Source organism: Homo sapiens, chromosome 7, assembly GCF_000001405.40.
Source record: "Homo sapiens chromosome 7, GRCh38.p14 Primary Assembly".
NCBI lineage: Eukaryota > Metazoa > Chordata > Mammalia > Primates > Hominidae > Homo > Homo sapiens.
This window is the reverse complement of record NC_000007.14, coordinates 140,202,145-140,228,267: the sequence shown is the minus strand read 5'-3', so window position 1 is coordinate 140,228,267 and position 26,123 is coordinate 140,202,145. Positions and strand designations below refer to the sequence as shown.

General features: G+C 46.0%; 1 pseudogene, besides 3 other annotated features; it reads left to right on the top strand.

Annotated features, from left to right (window-relative positions):
* Window positions 13,821-17,480: an enhancer, noted in NCBI's record as "VISTA enhancer hs2082". NCBI's record gives its function as "enhancer in: dorsal root ganglion[3/7] | trigeminal V (ganglion, cranial)[3/7]" and the evidence as "EXISTENCE:transgenic organism evidence [ECO:0001131][PMID:17130149]".
* Window positions 15,656-15,725: an enhancer, noted in NCBI's record as "active region_26775". NCBI's record gives its function as "activates an Ori minimal core promoter by ATAC-STARR-seq in GM12878 lymphoblastoid cells {active_cell/tissue: GM12878}" and the evidence as "EXISTENCE:reporter gene assay evidence [ECO:0000049][PMID:35858748]".
* Window positions 18,103-18,182: an enhancer, noted in NCBI's record as "active region_26774". NCBI's record gives its function as "activates an Ori minimal core promoter by ATAC-STARR-seq in GM12878 lymphoblastoid cells {active_cell/tissue: GM12878}" and the evidence as "EXISTENCE:reporter gene assay evidence [ECO:0000049][PMID:35858748]".
* RNU6-797P (RNA, U6 small nuclear 797, pseudogene) lies at window positions 18,597-18,699 on the top strand (annotated as a pseudogene).

Genomic DNA, 26,123 nt, shown 5'->3' with positions numbered 1-26,123 from the left:
TAAAATGGAATGGAATATAGGTTTCTGTTTTTGCTTCCGTTGTTATGGCATGGGTAACGTAACTTGACTTTGTCTTTAAAAATTTCACAAAAGAAATCAACATTATTTACTAAATCACTTTTTAAACGTGTTTTAAAAGTGCTGCTTTTGGGTTGAAGGGTGTGCTCCCGAAGACCACGCTGAGTTAAGAGGCTAATAGGAATCGTGTGAGTGAGGCAGAGTGGGATGAGGGCCGTTCCAGAGACAGATGTGCCCTGGGAGACCAGGAGGAAAGCAGGCAGGTTGAGCTGTCCTGTTGGTTGTTAGCAGGACAGAACCAGGAGGATGCGGAAGCATTGGTAGCTGAGATGCACGGCACAGACCCAATGGGGTCCTCTCTCTTTCTTTTGTTTTTTGAGACAGAGTCTCACTCCGTCACCCAGGCTGGAGTGGAATAGCGTGATCTCGGCCACTGCAACGTCTGCCTGCCGGGTTCAAGCGATGCTGCTGCCTCAGCCTCCCAAGTAGCTGGGATTACAGGCACCTGCCACCATGCTGGTTAATTTTTTTTGTATTTTTAGTAGAGATGGGGTTTCACCATGTTGGCCAAGCTGGTCTCGAACTCCTGACCTCAGGTGATCCACCACCTCGGCCTCCCAAAGTGCTGGGATTACAGGTGTGAGCCACCATGGCTAGCTTTTTTTTTTTTTTTTTTTAATAGAGACAGGGTCTTCCTGTGTTGCCCAGGCTGGTCTTGAACTCCTGGGCTCAAGGGATCCTTCCGACTTGACCTCCCAAAGAGTTAGGATTACAGGTGTGAGCCACCACGCCCAGCCCAGCGGGGGCCTCTCTTTTGAGTCAAAGGCGGTTTGGAGGTCTAGCACAGCCCTGCTTTGCTCTGGACATGATTCAATGAAAGAAGATAAAAAGTAACACCTGGTAATAGTAAAATAGTAACAAATGGTATTTATTAAATACCTACTGTGTTCTAGGCACTGTGCTAGGAGATTCACATGCTTTATGTCATGTAAGCCTATGATGTGGGTTACTATTATTAGTCCCACTTTACAGGTAGGGAAACAGCCACAGGGAGGTTAAGTTGTCCATTACCCAACTAGGAAGTGGCCCCATGAGCAGAGGACTCAAGCTTCTAGTGTACTCAGCCACTGGAGGATGATCCTTTTGTGCTGAGATTCAGTTTACGAGTTCTATTATGGGGGAAGTTGGGGGCTTCCTGGTCTCAATCTATCTAAGGCCAGCTTGTCCAGCCCATGGGCTGTCTGCGGCCCAGGACAGCTTTGAATGTGGCCCAACACAAATTTGTTAACTTTCTTTAAATGTCATGAGACTTTTTTGTGTGATTTTATTTATTTATTTTAGTTCATCAGCTATTGTTAATATATTTTATGTGTGGTCCAAGACAATTCTTCTTTTTCCAGTATGGCCCAGGGAAGCCAAAAGATCGGACACCCCTGATCTAAGAAGAAGGAGGAAAGGACTGGCTGGATCAATGGGAGAGGGAGAAGAGATAAGGCTCAATTAGTGAGCAGGGATCTGTGCAAAGGAATCAGGACATAGGCACAGCAGCACCACAGGGTGACAGGTGTTAATGTGGGGGCTGAGGGGAGGGAGCAAGAGTACCTTTCAGTGGGTGTGTGTTCAGGGAGAAATGAAGAGAGTTGGGGCTGTTGCAGAGTTGAATTGGGAGCTCTGGGAGCAAGTGTACCAGTCAGTATTATAGGAAGGCAGCCATGTTAAGACACAGGACCTGCAGGGTGGCCAATTTGTTTTAAAGTATATGACAATAACACTCCACAGTTTTAACAGTTTGTTGGGCTAAATTGTGTTCCTCCTACTGCTACTGCCCCCCGCATTCATATGCTGAAGTCCTTACCCCCAGTACCTCAGAATGTGACCTTATTTGGAAATATGGTCATTGCACATGTAATTAGTTAAGATGAGTTCATACTGGAGTAGGGTGGTCCCTGATCCATTAGGCCAGGTGCAGTGGCTCCTGCCTATAATCCTAGAACTTTGGGAGGCTGGGGTAGGAGGATCGATTGGGCCTAGGAGTTTGAGACCAGCCTGGGCAACATAGTGAGACACTATCTCTACAGAGAATACAAAATTTTTAACAAACTAGCCAGGTGCAGTGTCATATGCCTGTGGCCCCAGCTTAACTCAGGAGGCTGAGGTAGGAGGATTGCTTGAGCCAGGGAGGTCAAGGCTACAGTGAGCTATGATTGCACCACTATACCCCAGCCTGGGTAACAGAATGAGACCCCATCTCAAAAATAAAAATAAAAACTAAAGAAGGAAATTTGGGCACAGATATGCACACAGGGAGAATGGCATGTGAAGATGAAGGCAGAGATCAGGGTGCTTCTTCTACAAGCCAAGGAACCCCATAGATTGCTGGCAACCACCAGCAGCTCAGGGAGATGCCTGGAACAGATTCTCACTCACAGCCCTCAGAGGGAACCCATCCTGCTGACATCCGGATCTCGGCCGTCCAGCCTCCAGAACTGTGAGACAATGCTTTACTGTTGTTTAAGCTGCCTAGTCTGTAGTACTTTGTTACTTTGCTCTAGCAAAGTAATACACATGGCAACGTATCTGATGACAGCTCTAGCTGTGATAGAGCCCTGAGGTTTTTGAAACCTGCCTTTGTAGAGGCTGAGAAAATCTGTTTTCTTTCATTTTCCTTTTCTTTTTTTTTTTTTTTTGGTTTCTTTTTTTGAGACAGGGTCTTACTCTGTTGCAAAGACTGGAGTGCAGCAGCGTGATCATGACTTATTGCTGCCTCTACCTCCCAGGTTTCTCAGTAGCTGGGGCTGCAGACACACACCACCTGCCTGGCTAATTTTTTAAATTTTTTTTAGAGATGAGGTCTCACTATGTTGTCCAGGCTGGTCTTGAACTCTTGGGCTCAAGTTATCTGCCCACCTTGGTCTCCCAAATTGTTGGGATTACAGGTGTGAGCCACCATGCCTGGTCAGGACTTGTTTTATATAAAATTATCTCTAACAGAATGCTACATGTACATAGCTATAAAAAGCAAAGTAGAATAAATACATAAAAAGTATAATGAAAAATTACAATTGCGCTTAGCCTCTTGTTCCCCAAGGCTGTCTTCCTGAAGGCCGGCACTGCCAACTCTGTAGCCATTTTTCTTGTATTTTCCACCATTTTTCTAAACAATATGCTTACATTACTATTTCTTTTCTTTCCTTTTTTTTTTTTTTTTTTTTTGAGATGGAGTCTCACTCTGTTGCCCAGACTGGAGTACAGTGGGGTGACCTCAGCTCACTGCAGCCTCTGCCTCCCAGGTTCAAGCAATTCTCCTGCCTCAGCCTCCCAAGTAGCTGGGATCACAAGTGTGCGCCACTATACTTAGCTAATTTTTGTATTTTTAGTAGAGATGGGGTTCCACCATGTTGGCCAGGCTGGTCTCGAACTCCTGACCTCAGGTGATCTGCTTGCCTCAGCCTCCCAAAGTGCTGGAATTACAGGTGTGCTGGAATTACAGGTGTGAGCCACCACGTCCAGCCACATTACTGTTTCTTGATTTTCGACTTTGCACACTACTTGTTAACTTCCAATCATGGTAGCGGAGGAAACGCTCTCCTTCCTATACCCCCTTCTGTATCCTTGTATTCCAGTACTTTATGAAATAAATGACAACTGTTCACATTATTAGGAGGAGGTATGTAGTGTTAGGAGGGGGCATGGCTCACCTCTGAGCCATGTAGTGTTCTAGGACAACACTCTGTGATTAAACAACCCTTTTCTCCTTCTGGACTTAATGGCAGTTTCTTTTTTGCATTTGTCTGATTTTCTCTGAACCTATGTGTTCCCCCATTGCCCTAGCACCTCTGCCACACTGCAATCAACAGTATTTTTTGACTCTGAATGCTTTATTTTTTTTTCCCTAGGTGGTCCCTCTGGCCTCCTCCTCCAACGTGGACAGAGGTGCCTTAGGCTGCAGCGTGGCCCAGCTCCTGAGAGGGAGGAGGAGGTGTCTTTTGAAAGTGGCCAGCAGTTTTCTGGGTTTGGAGGTGGATGTTTCAGTTCACTGTGGGGGTGAAGTCCTTTGGTTTCATGAAGGCCTCCGGGACAGGCAGCTGTGCTCTCTTGTTGTTCCCCTCTGAGGGGCTTCACAGTTCTGGCTTGGGCGTGTTAATCAGGCATTCAGGCTGAGGCAGTCCTGAGTCCAGGGGAGATGTTGTCTGAAGGTGTGAACGGCTGAGCTCACTCCTGTGGAAACTGATGTTTTTGTCAGTGGTTGTTTTTTTGGCAGGGTGTGGGAGTTGTTGCTGAAAGTTGCTTGCAGGAGATAACGGAGTGGCTGAGGGTGGAAGGTGCATTTTCTCCATCCGTGCACAGAATCAGCACTGCTGGGTCACGCAGGGTGTAGGGATCTAGAGCACCAACGGAGCCCCGGACCTGGAGCCTGGCAGCCCCATGGGCACTGTGTCTTAGAGGTAGTGGCCCCAAGGCTCGTATTGGTGGACCTCAAGCCACAGAAGACAGGCCAGAGGAAGGATACAATGATGACTGGGACTGATTGGTTCAACAGATGTCGGGGACCCTTTTGAGGACTCCCTGAAAGACCCAGGGAATACTTCTGCAGGGCTGGGGCTGAGGGCCTGCGCTCATCAGGGGCCTCAGAATCGTTGTGACATGGGGTATCCGTGCAAAGGGATCTCACGTCTCCCCAGACTGCTGGACACTGGGTGTATGAGCATATTCCCTTCAGAATGATTCACAGCGATAGGCAGGGTATTTTTACCCCCATTGACAGCCAAAGAGTCTGAATCTCAAAGAGGCTTCAGTCCTTAAGTGGCAGAAGTGGAATGAGACCCCAGGTCAGGTGCTTTCCCACTTCCACAGAAGATAGAAGTCACGTTGCTAGAAAGTAACAGGGGAAGTAACGGTCCCATTGGACCATTTAGGGTCCTAGGAATGAAATATTTATTATGTTCAGTTCTGGGAATCGCGTTTTAAGAGAAGCAAGAACTTACTTCCTACAGGGAAATCAGGTTCGTGAAAGAGACCGGGGGTGCCTTTTCTGGCTTTTGTAACATCAGAGGGTCCTCCCCAGTCAGTGTTAGCAGCCCTGGGAAGCAGAGTTCTCTAGGGCTTCCAGACTCGACCCCAGTGTTGTCACCGGGCACCATGGTATGCTCAGTGCCATGGGCAAGCGTGGCTGTCATCTGCCCAGGGCCGTCGCCTGTGTAGCTAACGTCCTCTGTAGACAAGCACCCCTCTGTTGCAGCCTCATAAGCAAGGTGATTGTAGATGTCATGCCTGACTAGTTCACCCTTCTCAGGAAGTGAACTTCCTTTTTACTCAGTTTCACAAATATGGGGGTTCATGCAGTCTCCCCTCCCATCCCAGCCAGCTGCCCTGACAGTGGGATAAGGCGCTGACAAGCGGCCGTGTTCCCTCTGCGAACAGGGACAATGTCCCCATGAGTGCTCCCTTCCCAGCTCTGGGGCTAGAGTGTGAAAGGCAGGGTAGCGCTTTAGTGACTGGGGGGCTGTTGATCTCAGACACCAGCTGCTGTGATTCCTAGGACACTTCTTATCAGTGGGACACGAATGGGGGACTCCCACGTTCTGGTCTCTCCAGTCAGGTTGAATTTGTTGTTTTGTTTTTATTTTTGTTTTGAGACAGAGTCTGGCTCTGTCGCCCAGGCTGGAGAGCAGTGGCGTGATCTTGGCTCACTGTAACCTCTGCCTCCCAGATTCAAGCGAGTCTCCTGCCTCAGCCTTCTGAATAGCCGGGATCACAGGCACACGCCGCCACACCTGGCTAATTTTTGTATTTTTAATAGAGACGGGGTTTCACCATGTTGGCCAGGCTGGTCTTGAACTCCTGACCTCAGGTGATCCGCCTGCCTCGGCCTCCCAAAGTGCTGGGATTACAGGCGTGAGCCATTGCGCCCAGCCGAATTTGTTGTTTTTTAACAGGAAAATCCTTACTGAAGTTTCAAGATTCCCATTCTAATGATTTTTAAATCTCTATTGAATTCAATGAATTCAAATCTCTCTCTCTTTTTTTTTTTTTTTTTTTTTTTTTTTTGTGAGACAGAGTCTCGCTCTGTCGCCCAGACTGGAGTGCAATGGCATGATCTTGGCTCACTGTAACCTCTGCCTCCTGGGTTCAAGCGATTCTCCTGCCTCAGCCTCCTGAGTAGCTGGGATTATTGGCACATGCCACTACGCCTGCCTAATTTTTGTATTTTTAGTAGACACAGGGTTTCACCATGTTGGTCAGGCTGGTTTCGAACTCCTGACCACACGATCCGCCCACCTCGGCCTTTCAAAGTGCTGGGATTACAGGCGTGAGCCACCATGCCCGGCCTCTAATCTGTTTATGTTTACAGATTTGTTTTTGCCTCACTCACAGCTACTATTTGTATTTTTACTGAGCTTCTTTGGACAAGGTTAAGGAGCTTCTTTTCCTGACTTCTGTTGATTTTTGGTGCTCCGTGTTTGGAGTTCATAATTACACAACCTCAGGGGTTTTCTGGGGTTAGGGGAAAACAGCAGCTTGAAGGCTCAGGAAGTGGCTGGAGTTCTGGAAATAGAGTCCAGAACATAGACTTAGAAAACCCTGATGAACCTGTGTGACCTGGTCCTCCAAGGACTGAGCAATGTTGCCTCTCCTGGCTCTGGAAACACAGCACACGGGGGCTTCCAGAGTGAGCAGGAAGTTGCTGGCCATACCTTCCCAAGCCCCAGAGATGCATTCAGGCTATTTGAGGATTGTCATTAAGGCTTAGAGAAAATTGTTGAAGCTATTCCTGATTTGTACCAGTTAGTTTAGATTCAGCTGCAACAATCACAACTTAAGCAAGATATATAAAATTGTTTCTCATGTACATAGTTGAGGTCTATTATGTCAGCGTCCCCATTATTCAGACTCTTTCCAGTTTTCTGACTGCATTCCCTAGGCTGTGTCTCATCCTTATGGTCCAAATTGACTGCTGGAGCTCCAGCCATCACATCTGACTTCTAGGCAGCAGGACAGAGGAAAAGGAGAAGAAAGGCCTATGTTCTTCCTAGAAGAACCATACTATATTTTTGCTTACATCTCTTTGGCTAGAATTTAAAATGGCCAGTCCAAATTGAAGAGAGGCTGGGAAATTTAGTCCTTTGGCAGCAAGCAGTGTTACTCAGAATAAATTTGGGGTTTGTTACTAAGTGGGAGAAGGCGCATTGGTATTGGGTTAGGTTAAGCAGCCAGCAGTCTATCAGAGAAAGCTGGATTTAGTAGCTGTGAAATAAACAGGTTATTGGGGTTTGCAGTTCACTTAGGCTCTCTTTGTAACCCTGGGCAGGTCATTTTACTTTCTTCAGCTTCAAAATTTTCATTAAAAAAAAAAAAAAAAAAAAGGCCAGTCTTGGTGGCTCATGCCTGTAATCCCAGCACTTTGGGAGGCTGAGGCGGGCAGATCACCTGAGGTCGGGAGTTCGAGACCAGCCTGACCAACATGGAGAAACCCCATCTCTACTAAAAATACAAAATTAGCTGGTGTGGTGGCGCATGCCTGTAATCCCAGCTACTCGGGAGGCTGAGGCAGGAGAATCGCTTGAATCCAGGAGGCAGAGGTTGCAGTGAGCCGAGATCGTGTCATTGCACTCTAGCCTGGACAACAAGAGTAAAACTCCGTCTTAAAAAAAAAAAAAGCCTGTGATTAATAGCTGTGGCTGTTAAACTGTGTTCAAATAAGTCCTGGGGTTTCTTGGAGGCACCTCAAGTTTAATGGGAATAACTGGAGCTGAAATAAGAGTCCAAGCAAGGGCTTCCATGTCCCCTTCCCACCCCTTCAACCAGACCAGCTCTCTTCTCTCTGCTTTTTTACGTTACCCCAGCTCTCAGTAGCTCTAAAGCTCCATGACAGGTGAGAAACATCAGGAGCAACTGTAGAAAGTTTCTGGGTTTCGAGAGAAGCAAGTTGGACAGGTTATGTAGGTTCAGGTTTCTGTGGTTCCGGAGGTAGAGGACCATGTTTCTGTAATTGTGAAAATCTAGGGAGGTATCAGGGAAAAGCTTGGTCATCTTTCTCTAATTCCGGAGGTACTGGAACATAATTTTCTTGTCTCTGGGGGCCTTAGAATATATTCCCTGAGGTCTGGAATGAAAAGAAAATGAATGCTGAAATACGATCCAGGTTTGGTTCCCTGTTCTGCCTTTTCCTGCTTGGTATGTAATTTCTCTGAGCCTTAGTGTACTCATCTTTACAATGGGAATAGTAATGCCTACGCAGGACTACTGGGAAAATGAAATATTATCAAGTATGTAAGCTTAGTAGGCTATGAGTCAACGTTCATTTGCTTTAATGTCACCTGTTCATCAGAGGGCCTTACACCCCCAGGTGGGGTGGGTACAGTAGAGAGGCCTGGGCTTAATGATTCAGCCAATTGGTTCCTGACGCTCAAGATGAAATTGATGGCATTGGGACTCTGGAGTATCACCCTGAGCAGGTGTGCGGGCTGATCCCGTCTCATGGGGGTGTGGTGTTGTGGTGTTCTTTTCAATCTAGAGTGTTTAAGAACCAACCAAATCCTGCATCTGGGCTTTGGTTGGGAAGGTATAGTCTCTCTTAAATCTTTCCTCTTTTCCTCTTTAATGTTTTGTTTTGTTTTGTTTTCTCATCATCAATTAAATACTTTGAAGTCTTTTCCATTTTGAAACAAAAGAAAACCCTTTCCCTCTAGGCAGATGACTCTTCCTGCCTATGTCTTTTTTTTTTTTTTTTTTTTTTTTTGAGACAATGTCTCGCTCTGTCATCAGGGTGGAGGGCAGTGGCGTGATCTCAGCTCACTGCAACTTCCGCCTCCTGGGTTCAAGCAATTCTCCTGCCTCAGCCTCCCGAGTAGCTGGGACTACAGGCACATGCCACCACGCCCAGCTAATTTTTGTATTTTTAGTAGAGATGGAGTTTCACCATGTTGGCCAGGATGGTGTCGCTCTCTTGACCTCATGATCTGCCAGCCTCGGCCTCCCAAAGCGCGGGATTACAGGCGTGAGCCACCGCGCTCGGCCCTGATTTTTGTATTTTTAGTAGAGATGGGGTTTCACCACGTTTCCCAGGCTGGTCTCAAACTCCTGAGCTCAGGCAGTCTGCCCACCTCAGCTTCCCAAAGTGCTGAGATTACAGGCATGAGCCACCGCGCCTGGCCGGATGTATGTCTTTCCATTTTCTCTCTAAATTCTTGGTCTAATCCCTATTTCTGAATCACCTGTGGGCTGCCCAAGCTCTGTAATTTACATCAGCCTCAGATGTAAACATGCCCCCTTGTCTTCACACCCGAGGACACCACTCACCTACCCCATGCCACTGGGTGAGAGAGTCTGTTATTAAAGTCTCTGGAAAATTCCAAAGAATTATAGAAGAGAAAGCAAAGGAAACAAGACACCACCCGCATGCTTCTGAGGCCGTGGCCAGCTAGCCCCAGGGAGCCTCATACCAGCAGCTCCTCTTCCTGGCCACCATCTCCTGCTCAAGCCGCCTTGCTTCCTACATGAAATTTCCTACAATTATCTTAGCTTCTTTTAATCCCAAGGCCCACCCCAGAGTCCTATCTCTGAGGTCACCAGGGGCCCATGAAAGTAACTCTTTCTCTCTATGCTGGACCCTTTTGACTCACCTGTACCTTTCATGGGAAGGGAAGGGTGGGTGTTGGGGAGCCTCACCTGTGCATACCCGGGGGCCCACAAAACACCTTCCCAACCAAAGCACAGCCCAGCCTGTGATATCTACCTCAGCCACACATGGAGTTAATAGTTTCAAAGAATATTCTAGGCTTCCCTTCGGTATTAGTCCATTTTCATACTGTTAGGAAGAAATACCAGAGACTAGGTAATTTATAAAGAAAAAGTTTAATGGACTAACAGTTCTACATGGCTGGGAGGCCTCACAATCATGGTGGAAACTGAAGGAGGAGCAAAGGCATGTCTTACATGGCAGCAGGCAAGTGAGTATATGTATGGGACCTGCCCTTTATAAAACCATCAGAGCTCATGAGACTTATTCACTATCACAAGAATAGCACAGGAAAAATCTGCCCCCATGATTCAATGACCTCCCACCAGGTCCCTCCCACAACACATGGGAATTATGGGAGCTACAATTCAAGATGAGATTTGGGTGGGGACACAGCCAAACCCTATCACCTTCCTACCGGGAGCACCCGCAGAAAGCAGAAGGAGAAGATCTTTTCTAGAGCAAACTTGGGGGATTATGCTTTGTCCATTTTGTCTCTTCCTGACATTTATGTGACGTGTCTGCTGCAATGACCCTTCAGGCCACAGGTCTCTGTTGACATTCTCTCCTGCCTTGACTATTGCCACATCACAGTCTTCTATTTTTTCCTTCTACCTCTGTGGCTCTTCTTTCTGTCTCCTCCTAGGGTTCCTCTTCTGCTACCTTTTTCTTTCTTTTGTAAAAAAACTTTTATTTAAATAATTGCAGACTTGCAAGAGATCTGTCACACAACAATGTAAATTTACTCAACACTACTGAACTGTATACTAAAAAATGGCAAATTTAATGTTGTGTCTTTTTATCACAATAATAATTAGAAAAGGAGAGAATGTTATTTGAGGGCATAGTGGCACTGCAAAGCAGAGGGGAAGGAAAGAGTAGCAATAGGAGTTGAAATTCTTAGAGGAACAATAAGTTGGTTTTCAACTCTGTGTAATAAGTATTTAGTATTTAATACTCACCTCAAAATAATTTCACACTTATAGAAAAGTAAGAAAGATGCCAGACATGGTGGCTCACACCTGTAATCCCAGCACTTTGGCTAAGGCAGGTGGATCACTTGAAGTCAGGAGGATCACTTGAAGTCAGGAGTTTGAAACCAGCCTGACCAACATGATGAAACCCCATCTCCACTAAAAATACAAAAAAAATTAGCCAGGTGTGGTGGCAGGGACCTGTAATCCCAGCTACTCAGGAGGCTGAGACAGGAGGTGGAGGCTGCAGTGAGCAGAGATCACAGCACTCCACTCCAGCTTGGGCAACAGAGCAAGACTCCATCTCAAAAAAAAAAAAAAAAAAAGAAAAGTAAGAAAGAATGCTTTGAAGAATGCCAGCCTACCTATACTCAGATTCCCCAAATGTTAACAATTTATCACATTTGCTTTATTATTTTATTTTTTATTTTTAACACAGGGTCTTGCTCTGTTGCCCAAGCTGAAGTACAGTGGTGTGATCACAGCTCACTGTAGCCTTGACCTCCTAGGCCCAAGTGATCCTTGAAACTCAGCTTCCCAAATAGCTGGGACTATGGGCATGCACCACCATGCCCAGCTAATTTTTTTTTTTTTTTTAATTTTTTGTTGAGTTGGGATTTCCCTGTGTTACCCAGGCTGGTCTCAAACTCCTAGGCTCAAGCAGCCCTCTCTTGGCTTCCCAAAATGCTGGGATTAACAGGCATGAGACACTGTGCTTGGCCTGCCTTATTACTCTCTACCTATCATCTATCTGTTCATATTACCTTTTTTTCTGAATCATAGAGAATAAGTTGCAGACATAATTCTCCTTTCCTCCTAAATAGTTTCATTAGTATTACCTTAAAGAGGCATTTTGTTGGCCAGGCACAGTGACTCTTGCCTGTAATCCCAGCACTTTGGGAGGCTGAAGCGGGTGGATCACCTGAGGTCAGGAGTTCGAGATCAGCTTGGCCAACATGGTGAAACCCCGTCTCTACTAAAAATAGATATGTGTACTAAAAAGAGATACGTGTACTTCCATGGTCATTGCAGCATTATTCACAATACCTGAGATATGGAATCAACCTAAGTGTTCATCAGTGGATGAATGGATAGGAAAAATGTGGTACATATTCACATTACACACATTCACATACACAAAAAAAACCCAAAAAATTAGCTGGGCGTGATGGTGCATTCCTGTAATCCCAGCTACTTGGGAGGCTGAGGCAAGAGAGTCACTTGAACCCTGGAGGTGGAGGTTGCAGTGAGTCGAGATCACACCACTGCACTCCAGCCTGGGCAACAAGAACAAAGAAGCTCTGTCTCAAAAAAAAAAAAAAAAAAAAGGCGTTCTCTTACACAGTGCAATGATCAAAATTAGAAAAATAACAGTGATATAGTACTATTGTCTAATGTGTAAACTTTATTTCAAATTTTGCTAATTGTCACAAAGGAATTGTGTAGCAAAACAACCTCTTTTTTCTGGTCCAGAATCGAATCTAGAATCATACATTGAATTATTTAGCTATCATGTTTGTGTTTTAGTCTCCTATGATCCAGAATAGTTCTTCAGTCTTTCTTTTCTATGACCTTGGTATTTTTGAAGAGCACAGGCCAGTTATTTTGTATATATGTCCTTCAGTATGGTTTTGTCTGATGTTCCCTCATGATTAGACATATATAATCATTTAGAGTATACATTTTTGGCAGGAATACTACAGAAGTGATGTTGTATCCTTCTCAGTACAGCCTATCAGGAGGCATACAATGTCTACCCGTCCCATTACTCCTGATAACTTTGATCACTCAGGGGAGGTAGTGTCTACCAGGCTTCGCCACTGTAAAGTTACTTATTTCTATGTAACTAGTAAGTGTCATGTATGGGAGACACTTTGAGATTATGTCAATTTCTGTCTGTCTCTTAGCTGATGTTTCCAGACTGCCTTCTGCTCTTCTCATTCTACAGAGTTCATGGGTTTGCTGATGTCTCTCAGACTTTCTCACTGGCCAAGATGGCTTTGGAGACACACAGCCCCCTCACAGGATGTCCTGTAACCACCTCAAACTCAACACTGTCCTTCCTGTCTGAACCTTGTCTCCCATCCCCCATGCCACAAACCTGCCCCTCCTCCCCTATTTCCCTGGTGACAGTTCACAGCACCACCTCGCTCCAGGTCATCCATCAGCCTAGACTCCTGGCATCGCTACAGTCTCCTCCCTTCCCCTTGCAGGGCATGCACAATCAACGACCAAGTCCCATTGGTCTTAGGCTCCCAGTATTTTGTATTACTCCCGTGGTTCGGGCCATTATCTTCTCAGTCTTGGTATCCCGTCACAGTCTTCTCTGTTCTTCCTGCTCAGGATCTTGCCTTCCCTCTCATTCATTCTCCATCGTGATAGCAAAGTGAGTTTCCTAAAGCGTAGATCCCATTGTGAAGAGAAGAATAGGTGGAGTGGGTGCTGCTTAGAACCCCAGTGGCCTCCCACTGTCCTCAGATGCCAACCAACTCCTCCTTTCAGGTGAAGCCTTGCTCACTTCTCCCACTGCCCCAATTATGTTGACTTTTGCAGTTTCCTATTTTTAGTTGCCTTCTCTCCTTGAGTTTTCATGCATGAAATCTGGAGCACCCCCAACCATTTACCAGCTCTTGCTGCTGTTTTTGGATTCAGCTTAGATTTCACATCAGTCTTCATGCAGACATTCCCTGTCCCATGGGCGTGAGTTAGATGCCCTTCCCAGGTGTTCCCCTGGTACTTGTTCCAACCCTGCTGTGACCCTTTTCACATTTTGAAATGGATTATGTTTATTCTAATGCCTCCACTTTGGCTATGAGCTCCTCTAGGCCAGGAACAATGTTTTGTCCATTCCTTGTTGGGAAACTTCAACTCTCACATTATCTGGCTCCAAAACACACACTCCACAAACATTTGTTGAATGAATAAGTGGTCAGGTGGGTGGAGAGGGTGAGTGCAGGCAGGACTGTGGTATAGCTGTGGGTTTTTGTTGAACTAGGGAAAGTTACCAAGACTCTGCTGACTCAGACTTGGGTTCTGGGGACAGGTTTGCCGGTGTTTGGAGGCCAGCTGTTACAGGCCAAGGGCATCCAGGAGGAACACCAGCAAAGAGATCAAAAGAATGAAGGCAGGCCCTCGTCAGATATTCAAGGTGCTTTTGACCTAGAAGGGCTGGAACTCCAAAGGAACAGGTTTCCAAGGCCCAGGTGATTCAGATAGGGTTGGGCACCAAGGCTCAGGAAGGGGAACTACCAGATAAGAAGGCAGTCAGCAAGGCTTCTGCCCAGGTGGCCAACCACATGGCTGAAACCCTCCATTGACTTGGCAGCCAGTCCAGCCTACAGTTTCCTAGGGAACTGATGGCCAAGCAATCTGTAGCGCAACTTGGCATGGAGCCTGGGACATTTTATGAGGGCCAGATGGTTGGACTCTGTGCATTGTCAGTGTTGCAGGGTGGGCAGCTGAGGGTCTCAGAGGTAGGACTCAACACTAGGACAGGGAGTGTCTGAAGGCTGGAAACTCACATAGGTGAGAAGGACAAGAACGGAGAGTTGGAAGTCAGGAGAGCATAGAACCACAGCTTGGTGAGAGGTCCAGAGCCAGGTGTTGTTGGTTCTAAGAGTCAAGATAAGAAAGTGAGTTAAAAAGAGACTAGGAGTGACCACATAGTTAGAATCTGGGTCAAGACTATTATTCACGCCTTGAGAGCAGAAATCTGGTCTCTTTTTCTCTGCTGTCTCTGTGCTGCCGAAATCACTGCCTGGAAGAAAATAAGAGTCAGGTCAGACTGAGTCAGGAATCTCAAGGGGTTACTTGAAGGTCAGGGCTTGATCATGGAAGAATGAGCTCTTTCCACCCAAGGAGGTAGACATAGTTCCAATGAGAAAACTGACCATACATTTTTAAAGTTTATTTATTTATTTATTTGTTCATTTATTTATTTCTGAGACAGAGTCTTGCTCTGTTGCCCAGGCTGGAGTGCAGTGGCACAATCTTGGCTCACTGCAACCTCCGCCTCCCAGATTCACACTATTCTCCTGCCTCAGCCTCCCGAGTAGCTGGGACTACAGGCACCCACCAACATGCCCACAACATGCTAATTTTTGTATTTTTAGTAGAGACGGGGTTTCACCATATTGGTCAGGCTGGTCTTGAACTCCTGATCTCGTGATCCACCCGCCTTGGCTTCCCAAAGTGTTGGGATTACAGGCGTGAGCCACCGCGCCCAGCCTATTTATTTTTAAGACAGGGTCTCATTCTGTCACTCAGGCTGGAGTGCAATGGTATGATCATGGCTTACTGCAGCCTTGACCTCCTGGGCTTAGGTGATTCTCCTGCCTCAGCCTCCCAGTAGCTGGACCACAAGCGCATGCCACCATGTCCAGCTAATTTTTTGTAGAGATGGGGTTTTGCCATGTTGCCCAGGCTGGTCTCAAACTCCTGGGCTCAAGAGATCCACCTGCCTTGGCCTCCCAAAGTGTTGGTATTACAGGCGTAAGCCTGGGATTACAGATTGTGCCCGGCCTTTTTAGTTTACTTGCTAGGATTAATACCTAAGTGGAACATTGATGGTAGAACAAAACAAAACACAAGGAAAAAACATTGAAATAATCCTGGTACTAGGGATAAGGTAATCTTTGCTAAGGGCTAGATTCCCCAGCACCTTGGACACCCTAGCCCAGGTGTGAGAAGGCGGGGCAGCTTGTTGGGTGTGTTCCATTGCTAAACTGACCTGGAGCAGGGAGGAGGCTTCAGGGTGGGAAGCCGAGGGACCGGAAATGAACCTCTAGAACTGACTTGCCCTGAGAAGGCAAGAAGTGACAGAAACAAAACCTAATCAACAGATATTTTCTGTCTCGATCTTACTCAGCAGATACTTAGATTGAAGTAGTTCAGAGCATGCACACGGGCAGGCTGAGTTATGTAGCAGGGAGGGGAAACCATTTGTCATACGTAGTTGTAGATGAGTGCAAAATGCTCCATGGGTTGGATTTTTTCCTGGTGGCAGCTAGAACTAGGATGTAGGCACACCTGGGCAGTGATTGGAGGGGCTGTCGGACAAGGAGAAAGTCCTGGACTGCTCATAGTCCGCAACCTGGACTAGAAGTTCAGGCAGTAAACTCCAGCCACCAGCAACAGGAGCTCTGGGCTCTGAGGCTCCTGGTGGCTTTAGGCAGGAAGCCTGTTACACATGGGGCCTGGGGCCAGCCCTGTGTCTATGTTTAGGGAGCAGGGAGAGGACTAGGGTGGAGGCAGGCATGTGAAGGCAAGGGAATGGCCACGGAGGTGGCTCAGGCGTGTCATTTCCTCTAGTCTCATCAATGACTCTACATGATCCAAGGCTTCCCATCATCATCATCATCACCATCATCATCACCATCATCCAAGTGCCATGTATGAATCACTTCCTATTTGTTCAATTACCTCACTCACAAAACTCTGTAAGTCAGGAATTATTATTATTCCCAGAAGGGGAAACTGAAGCTCAGTGAGGTTAAGCGACTTGCCAAAGGTCATACACCTAAGAAGTGGTAGAGCCACACTCTGGATCGAGGACTAATGGATCCCAAACTCTAGTAGCAGCTTAGAGGGTTAGGAGCACAGACTGTGGAAACAGACGCGCTACTTGCATGGCTGTGGACAACTCTGTGACTCAGTTTTCTCACCTGTGAAATGGGGATGATGGTGATAAGAGAGCTACCTTATAGGGCAGTACTGAGGATCAAGTGAGCAACTGTAAAATATAACTCCAGGAGGAGGGTTGCTTAATTTAGCAAATCAAATACAGGATGCCCAGGTAAATCTGAATTTCAGTTAAACAATGGATAATATTTGAATTTATTTATTTATTTATTTATTTTTGAGATGGAGTTTTGCTCTGTCACCCAGGCTGGAGTGCAGTGGTGCGATCTCAGCTCACTGCAACCTCTGCCCACTGGGTTCAAGCAATTCTCCTGCCTCAGCCTCCCTAGTAGCTGGGATCACAGGCATGTGCTACCGTGCCTGGCTAATTTTTATATTTTTAGTAGAAACAGGGTTTTGCCATGTTGGCCAGGATGGTCTTGAACTCTTGGCCTCAGGTGATCTGCTCACCTTGGCTTCCCAAAGTGCTGGGATTACAGGTGTGAGCCACTGCGCCCTGCCTATTTTATTTCTTTTTTAGACAGAGTCTCACTCTGTTGCCCAGGCTGGAGTGTGATGGTGCAATCACGGCTCACTGCAGCCTCGATCTCCTGGGCTCAAACGATTCTCCCACCTCAGTGTCCTGAGTAGCTGGGACTACCAGCATGTGCCACCATGCCCACCTAATTTTTGTATTTTTTGTAGAGTTAGGGTCTCACCATGTTACCCAGGCTGGTCTCAAACTCCTGGACTCAACCGATCCTCCTGCCTCGGTCCTCCCAAAGTGTTGGAATTTCACGCATGAGCCACCATGCTCAGTCAGATGTTTTAGAAAAAAGTCTTGCACTGTTTGGGGCATACCTATGGTAAATATTGTTTACGGATTAGCTGAAATTCAAATTGAACTGAGCATCTTTTCTTTTATGTGGCAACCACGCTGAGGGGGCTTCTCGAGGCAGCCTCGACCCATGCGCCTGGCTCGGGTGCAGGGTCTAGTGAGGCCCATTTCCTCATTATCATCTCTGCCTCCAGGCTTCTGTTCCTGCAGTTTCATGCCCCGCTACCCCATGCCCTCTCCTGGCCTCTGGAGCCTTTCCTCACTTCTGGCCTCCTTTTCGTGATCTTCGGCGGTCTTCATGGTGAGTTCTTCCCTGACGGACTGCGCCTTGAGACTGGCTCACGTAATTTAGTCCCTAATTATACAGGTCAGGTCCATTTGCTGTTTTTTTCAGGTGAGTTACTCTACTCTCCCTAACTAGGCTCTAGTGCCTTTCAGGCAGGGACTGTGTCCGCTGGGACCTGAGCGTGGATCGGTTTCAATAAATCCCTGCTGCTTGAATGGTTGTAGAAATGGAACCGTTCCTCTTCCAGGAACTGGCTAATGAGAGAGCCACTTTGGTTTTCTTCGTATGCTGTTGTGCTGCCGGAGTAAACCAGCAAAGGCTCGGCATCTGCAGGTCGCTTGCAGTCAGCCTCCTGTTGCCCAGCCCACAGCCTGTTTCACTTCTCTTTCTCACATAGCAGGGCGGCTTGGGCTGCAGCTTGTTTTTTCTCAGCCAAGAAAGTAGCACCCAGAGTGAAAGGGAGTGCACCTCGCTTCAACTACAGTAAGGAACTGACAACTGGCACAGAGACCCTTAGAATAGAACAGGAGGAGGGACAGTGACAGGCACCTTTGTCACACCTCATCTCAGGTGGCATTGCAGCTGTGCTGAGCAGCAGGGCCTGCCTGGCTCCTCTGCCTTGTCCCCTGGCCAGGTTGAGCCCTTGGATGGATACACTGACCTCTGATACTCTTTCCTTCCTGCTCTTGTCCTGTCCCTTGCCTTGGCCAGGCGAGGGCCCGTGCAGAGCCACAGCTCCAGGTTGCCTTCGCCCGCACCTGTGCCGCTTTGCTGAAGCCTAACGTCTCAAGCTAGTAAGACACTCTCTGAGACCCACTGTGCTAAAGGTTCTGGGTCAGCAGTTGGTGGGGATTCTGAGTGCTCCGTGGCCCTCAGCTCCTCATTTTCAGCAATCTAGAAAGACGAGGAATCCCAAGCCAGGATGACGCTCCTCTGCAGCCCCGTTTATTATGCCGGCATCCCTGTGCCAGCTAGGACGTTAGATATGGGCATTACAGGTGTAACTGGTAATCCTGTCTGGGGAGGCCCTGATTTTATCAAGAGCAAGTGCATTGTGGGGGATACATACAGTTGGAAGAGCAAGTCTTTCCCTCAACACCTTTATCATCTAACGTGAAACAAGTGCTTGCTTTGACAGCACATACACTAAAAAATTGGAATGATACAGAGAAGATTAGCATGGCCCCTGTGCAAGGATGACATGCAAATTCATGAAGCATTCCATTAAAAAATTAAAATAATGTGAAACAAAATGAAAACAGAACCACTGATCCTTTGTTATGTAAATAACCCATCCTTAGTACTGGGTTCTGTGGGTGCTCCTTCCCCCAGCTGCTGGAGACATGGGTGGCTGATGGCTGCTCTTAGTTGAGTCCCTTTCCAGGAATTGCCCTCCTTGTTCAAGGTCACCCCTTTCCCCCAGGGCAGCCCATGTTAAGGACTGGTCAATGCCCAGGTGTGGTCCCCTAGCTCCAATTCAGGGCAGCTCTGAAGGGCCATCCCAGCTCCAGAGCTCCCTGTGGGATCCTGGGATCGACTGAGGCTCCTCCCTCTGCCCCACCTGTTCCCTTCACTCCCCATCAGTGACAGATCCTGGGGCCATGCTCTGCATCCAGTCTCATCTCAGAATCTGTTTCCTCTGGGAACTCAAGAAATCTATTTGTCCCTAAATCTGGGGATGCTAGTGCAGAGGATCAATGCTTCTGGAAGTCCACGCAGTGTTCACATGGAGAAAGAAGTGAATCTGGCGGTAAAAGAGTCTGACTTCTTTTCCCACCCTCTCTGCACTGGCTCCCTGCTTCTGGAACCAGGGAGCCCACTCAGAGGGCCTGCAGCTTTGACCCCGCCTATCTGCTCATCCCCCTTCCACCCGTACTTGGCATTTCCACACCACCTCATGTCCCTTCACATCCTTCCTTGTCCTAACTAATCTCTAAGCTGTGACCTTTTGTCAGTCCCATAAAAGTCACTGGGTAGATACCATCTTCAAGAAGAGATAAAAAGAGGCCAGGTGCCATGGCTTATACCTGTAATCCCAGCACTTTGGGAGGCCAAGGTGGGAGGACTACCTGAGCTCAGGAGTTCAAGACCATCCTGGGCAATATAGTGAGACCCTGTCTCCACTAAAAGTTAAAAAAATTAGCTGAGTGTGGTGGCTCACACCTGTGGTCCCAGCTACTCAGGAGGCAGAGGTGGGAGGATCACTTGAACCCAGGAGGTTGAGGCTGCAGTAAGCTGTGATTGTGACACTGTGCTCTAGCCTGGGTGAGACAGTGAGACCCTGTCTCAAAAACAAAAACAAGGCCACATAAGGTGGCTCACGCCTGTAATCCCAGCACTCTGGGAGGCTGAGGAAGGCAGATCACCTGAGGTCAGGAGTTTGACATCAGCCTGGCCAACGTGAGAAAACCCCATCCCTACTAAAAATACAGAAAATTAGCTGGGTGTGGTGGTGCACACCTGTAATCCCAGCTACTTGGGAGGTATGAGAATCTTGAACCTAGGAGGCGGAGTTTGCAGTAAGCTGAGATCGTGCCACTGCACTCCAGCTTGGGTGACACAGCGAGACTCTGTCTCAAAAACAAAAACAAAACAACAACAACAAAAGAGATAAAAATAAAAGAACGTCTGGAAGAAAAATGACACTGAAACTCTGTATTGAATCTTGGTAGTGATCCCCGATTAAGATGCTGTGGGAGTTAATTACAAGCAAATAAACTCTTTAAAGTTAAACATGAAGTTCCCTAAGGAGTTCTGGATGTAAGAACCATTGTCCTTAATAAGAATGACTTGTAGGTCCAACGTAGGGAACTCACTGAAGGTGATCAGGATAATTCTTAGTTATTCTAATGGCATAATTCCATTTTGTTGGGCAAATAGTAGGCATGCAACATATACTGAGAGAGGAAATGGGTGGGTGAAGCTGAACATTTCTGTCAGATGTTTCTTAATGAATAACACAGATGATATCAGCTAATTTTGAGATTGTAAAGTTATTCCTACCATGTTCGGGTGAGACTTTTGCAAGCAGTGGCTCCTAATCACTTCCAAGTCCCCTAGGTCCTACAGAATATGAAAAATAAAGGTATCTTTGGAAGATGTATGTTAGCTCAAATGTGTCCTGAAAGTTCCTGACCCTCCCAGTAATTAGTTTCTTCTCCCTTTGGAAGGGCACTGTCCCTGAGCACCCTCCTCTCTAAAGGTCGAGTATGGCTCAGTCCACTCGCCTCTCTACAAGCCTCTGTCCACCCAGTGAACTCCACCAGGGCAGGGACCACGTGTCTTTATGTCCCTGACCACGGGGCCTGGCACCCTGGAGGTACCTCATAAATACTTATTGAGTGACCAAATAAATTAGATGGCATGGGAATAATGGTGATTAATTTTAATTTGGATAAAACGACATTCTTCCAAAATTCTTGAAAGTGATCAAAATGAAACAGAAAGGCAGGCATCTATGCCAGTGGCAGCACACAGAACAAAACTGATTAGACAAGTGGAAAAAAAGATGTTTTCGGTGAATCTGGGTTCATTTTATTCTCATCTTCTTTTCTGGAAACTGGGGCTTTCTGTATCTTTTTGACAGAGTGGAGGGCACTGAGTACAAAGAGCATAATGACTTTCTTTGTTTTACCGTAAGGCTGACTTCTCCCCCCAGCTTTTAGATTTTGCCTGATTCTCATAAATAGGCAAAAACTGACAGCTTAGATTCCCTCAACATCTTAGCTGTAGCTCCATTTACAAGAATTCAAAATGTATAACAGTAAGTCAACAGTAAACTCAACTGATTGATTTAGAGTTAATGCTTAGGTAAGACAGGTTTTTACATTCATTATATAACATCTTCTATGAGCAAGTTATATACCTTTTAATGCTTCCAAATATCAAAGTAATTTCAAAAGGGCATTCATGTATATTTCACATTTAATATATTTTAATTCCCCATGTTTCTCACTTCCCTTTTTTCCCCCCAGAAACGTCTGTTTCATCATGGCTTCAACTTTTTGTAACAATCGAAAACCCTGGCCCTCATAATTTATTTAAATAAAATCAAATATGCAAAGAAAAAGTTCTGGAAAAGAAAATAATAATAGCTAACATTTACTAACATTATTGAGATTTACTGGGTACCAGAGATATTCTAAACATTTCACTCCTTTCTTTTTTTTTTCTTTTTTTTGAGATGGAGTCTCGCTCTGTCTCGCAGTAGTACAATCTTGGCTCACTCACTGCAACCTCCACCTCACAGGTTCAAGTGATCCTTCTGCCTCAGCCTTCCGAATAGCTGGGACTGCAGGTGCATACCACCACACCCGGCTAACTTTTTGTATTTTTATTAGAGACGGGGTTTCACCATGTTGGCCAGGCTGGTCTCAAACTCCTGACCTCAAGTGATCTGCCAACCTTGGCCTCCCAAAGTGCTGGGATTACAGACGTGAGCCACTGCATCCGGCCATAACTCCTTACCTCATTGAATCTTCACAACAACTTCCTGAGGTAGATGCTATTAAATTCAGCCCCACCTTGCAGGTGAGGCTCTTGCCCAAGGTCATGCTGGTATTAGGTGGTGGAGCTGGGATGAGAACTCTAGTCTGTAACACGGAGCCTGTGCACTTAAATACACCAGGGTCCTACCTGCCTCCCATGAGATAAGAGGGGGACAGGAGTTCTTGCTTTATCTCTGTTACTAAGAACTCAGATCTTATTATTGCCTGTAAGATTTTCTCCTGTGTTTGGCTGAGCCTGTTTGATCTGAGGCTGCTTGGCTGTGTTCATCCTCTGTGTTCAATGTAAAAGAAGAATCTGCTGCTTTCTCTTCTCTCTTTCTTTCTTTCTCTCTTCTGTATTTTGTTGCTATATATTTTTAGGCTTTTTTATTGGATTCTCATCAAAAGAATATTTCTTTTACTTCTGCTTGGTAGACACTTGAACTTCCTTCCATCCCCGACCCTCCCCCACTACTCAGAGAGCGCCACCAAAAGCAATCGAGAGGTCAGAGGTCAATGGCAGGAATGAAAAGACACCAGCTTGGTCACCTAAACAATAGTTGTAGGTCAGATAATTGAAAACTGAAAGGATAATAAAAACTTCTGCATCTGTGAACCAATTAATTAGGCCCCTGTATCCCTGTGGAATGCGTGCCAAACATCTCAGATTTGGTGTGGGCAGAGCTGACAAAATGCTTTGCTAAGGTAAAACCACCACAGAAAGGCAGAGCTTTCCAGAAAAAGACTTGGCATCTCGGAGACCTTCTATTATCCTATTCATGTATCTCATTCACTATTCCAACAAATATTCATGGTCTGCCTGCTGTGAGCAGGGCACAAGGAGGAGGGAGTGAAAGGCATTTTACCTATGAAGTCAGGGGACTCTAAAGATGGCCCTTTCTCCACTGGAGTAAATGGAGCATGACCTTAGCGAGGCTGGGTGCACCCTGTCACCTGTTCTCCCTCTTTCCATCAGCCATTCAAACCCGACTCGCTCAGCGTGCAATCAGACACCCTCTCTACCTGCCTTTCCTGGACAAAGAGTAAATTTTGTTCTGGAAAGAGAGGCGTTGTGCCCTGCCAACTTAGGGCAACCCACATGCCAAAAGTTAATGAGGTTTGGGCTCTGTATTTAGACTTTGGTTGTCCAAACTCCTTAAGTAACCTCCTGCAGAGGGGTTTCCTTATTAAGCAGCTGTCTCTACCTGCTAAACAGCCATTTGTTTCCTGCCTAAGAGTTAAGGGGACTTTCAGCATTCCTGTGCATGATACCTGACTCTTTAGCACCAATTCACTGGTATTCATTCAACAGTGTTTACTGAGTAAATAATAATAATAAATATATTCATATGTGTATTCATAAGAAGAGCAATGTACTTATAAAGAGAGGAAGATCATACAGCAGAAGATGGAAGGTTATGTGTGAACTGTTTTTTTCTTTGTATTTCTCTGTAGTTAAAAAGTTTTCTGTGCCAGATTAATTTTAAAATTAGAAATAAAAATGTTATTTTATTTTATTTTTTGAGACAGGTTCTTGCTCTGTCACCCAGGCTGGAGTGTAGTAATGTGATCCTGGCTCAATGAAGCCTCAAACTCCTGGGCTCAGGTGATCCTCCTGCCTCAGCCTCCCAAGTAGCTGGGACTGTAGGTGTGCACCACCACACCCAGCTAAAATGCTATTTTATAGTATTATTGATCACTTAGATGAACAAAGCATGTTTCATAGTATTATGTATAGATATACTTCTGCTTCTAGCCATAACTGAGAAGCAGGGACCAGATTTTCCCTCCCACCTAAAACGATTTAAAAACCAGATAAAATATATGAAAGAACTGTTTTCAGACATTGTACAACAGGCAATGCAGGACCATGAAAACTGAAAAAATGGAAACATATGAGGGGAAGCATGCAATCTCCAGGGATTACTACCTGGAGAGAGTTTTTGGTTCTTAGTACAGGGAGGAGGAACCCAAATAGAGCCCACTGGTGTCCTTGAGTTGAGGAAGAATACTTCAGGGTTTGGGAAAGCCAAGGTGGCTGGAATTTGCAGGGTGGAGTAATGGAGAGGAGAAAATGTCATGCACACACACATATAGAGAAAGAGAAAGAAAACTGAAGATCTGTAGAGGGCTCCTCATGAGTTCTTCATCTGAGTATTAATCGGTGATTGTTTATGAGGAAACAACCAGGGGCTGGGAAAAGAATTACTCAAAAAGAACAGCAGGAACAACCACCACAGCCCACATAGCGCTGGGAATAGTTTCTGCTCTTGCCAACCAGAGTAGAAATACAGGCCTCTGAGTAGAGTTCTCAAAAAGGTATTATCTCAGCACAGGGACCAAGTCAGGTCCAGCTGAGATAACAGCTGCCCTGAACCCCTTGAACAAAGCTTCAAATCCAGCCTAGAAAAGATCAAACTCTTTCTGAGTAATTTAATTGCATCTCATAGCAAAGTGCAAAAATATTTAAAGAAACACAAAAACTCCAGCACCCAAGAAGGTAAAACTGACAGTGTCTAGCATCCAGGCAAAAATTACCAGGTAAGTGAAAAAGCAGGAAAAGATGGCCCATAATGAGGAGAAAAATCAATCAATAGAAACAGACTCAGAAATGACACAGATGATATAATTTGTAGACAAGAATATTAAAACAGCTATTATACTCCCAGTGTTCAAGACCATAGAGAAGAATATGAGCTTGATAAAGATAAACATGGAAGCTATAAAAATGACCCAAATTGAATTTTCAGAGATGAAAAACATGACGTCTGGGATGAAATGATTATGTAGGAATAGAAAAATTAATTAGGATTTTCTGTCCTTAAGGGCCAAAAACAATACAGTAGCACAGACAGACACATTACCTGCCGAGACCAGCTCAGTCAGGGAGACCCTAACCCAGCAGTGCTAGAGGAATTAAAGACACACACACAGAAAGACAGAGGTGTGAAGTGGGAAATCAGGGGTCTCACAGCCTTCAGAGCTGAAAGCCCCGAACAGAGATTTACCCACATATTTATTAACAGCAAGCCAGTCATTAGCATTGTTTCTATAGATATTAAATTAACTATAAGTATCCCTTATGAGAAACAAAGAGATGGGCCCAATTAAAGGAATAGGTTGGGCTAGTTAACTGCAGCAGGAGCATTTCCTTAAGGCACAGATTGCCCATGCTATTGTTTGTGGCTTAAGAATGCCTTTAAGGGGTTTTCCCGCCCTGGTGGGGCCGGGTGTTCCTTGCCCTCATTCCCGTAAACCCACAACCTTCCAGCGTGGGCGTTAGGGCCATTATGAACATGTTACAGTGCTGCAGAGATTTTGTTTATGGCCAGTTTTGGGGCCAGTTTATGGCCAGATTTTGGGGGGCCTGCTCCCAACAATTACCCATAATAATAAGCATAAGAAGAGAAGCACTAGGAAAGAAGCCTCACTAACTCTTCCAGCTAAAGAGAAGTTAAATAGGGCTTCACGGAGAAGCTAGCATTTGAGTTTGACCTTAAGGGCTTTCAATCAACAGAGATGGGGAGCAGTGTGGGCATTTCCTATGGACAGATTCACATAGGCAAAGCACAGAAAGGGAGAAACCCAGAGCAAGTCAATTGGACTAGTAGGTGAAGAGATTCATGTCTGGCAGCAGTGGGAGAGCAGGTTGAAAAATAATGCTAGCCACCATTTATTGAGCAATTACAATATGCCAGGCATTGCTCTAACTGCTTTATCTACATATGCTTGCCTATCCTCAGCAATGTTATTGTTCAGCCTCATTTTGCAGCTAAGGAAACTGAGGCCCAGAGAAGTTAGATAATTTGCTCAAAAACACACTACTAGAGAGTGCAGTCTGGCTCTAGAGTTCAAGCCCAAGCTCTTAGGCACTATATTCTGCTTCCAATGCTGCTGATCAAATAGGTGTGAGCCGGATTTATTTATAATTTTTTGTTGTTTTTGTTGTTGTCGCTGCTTCTGCTGGGGGAGATTGAATACTAGGCTTAGGAAGTAAATTTTATTCTGGGAGGATGGGGTCCCACTGAAGTGTCATGGGTAGGGCACAGCAGATCTGTGAGGTGCTTTGGGAGAGTTCTTTGAGCCCAATTGGAGGAGGGAAAGGCTTAAATTCGGGAAACAATGCTGGGGGGTGGGGACTGCAAGAATCCAGGTGAAAGGC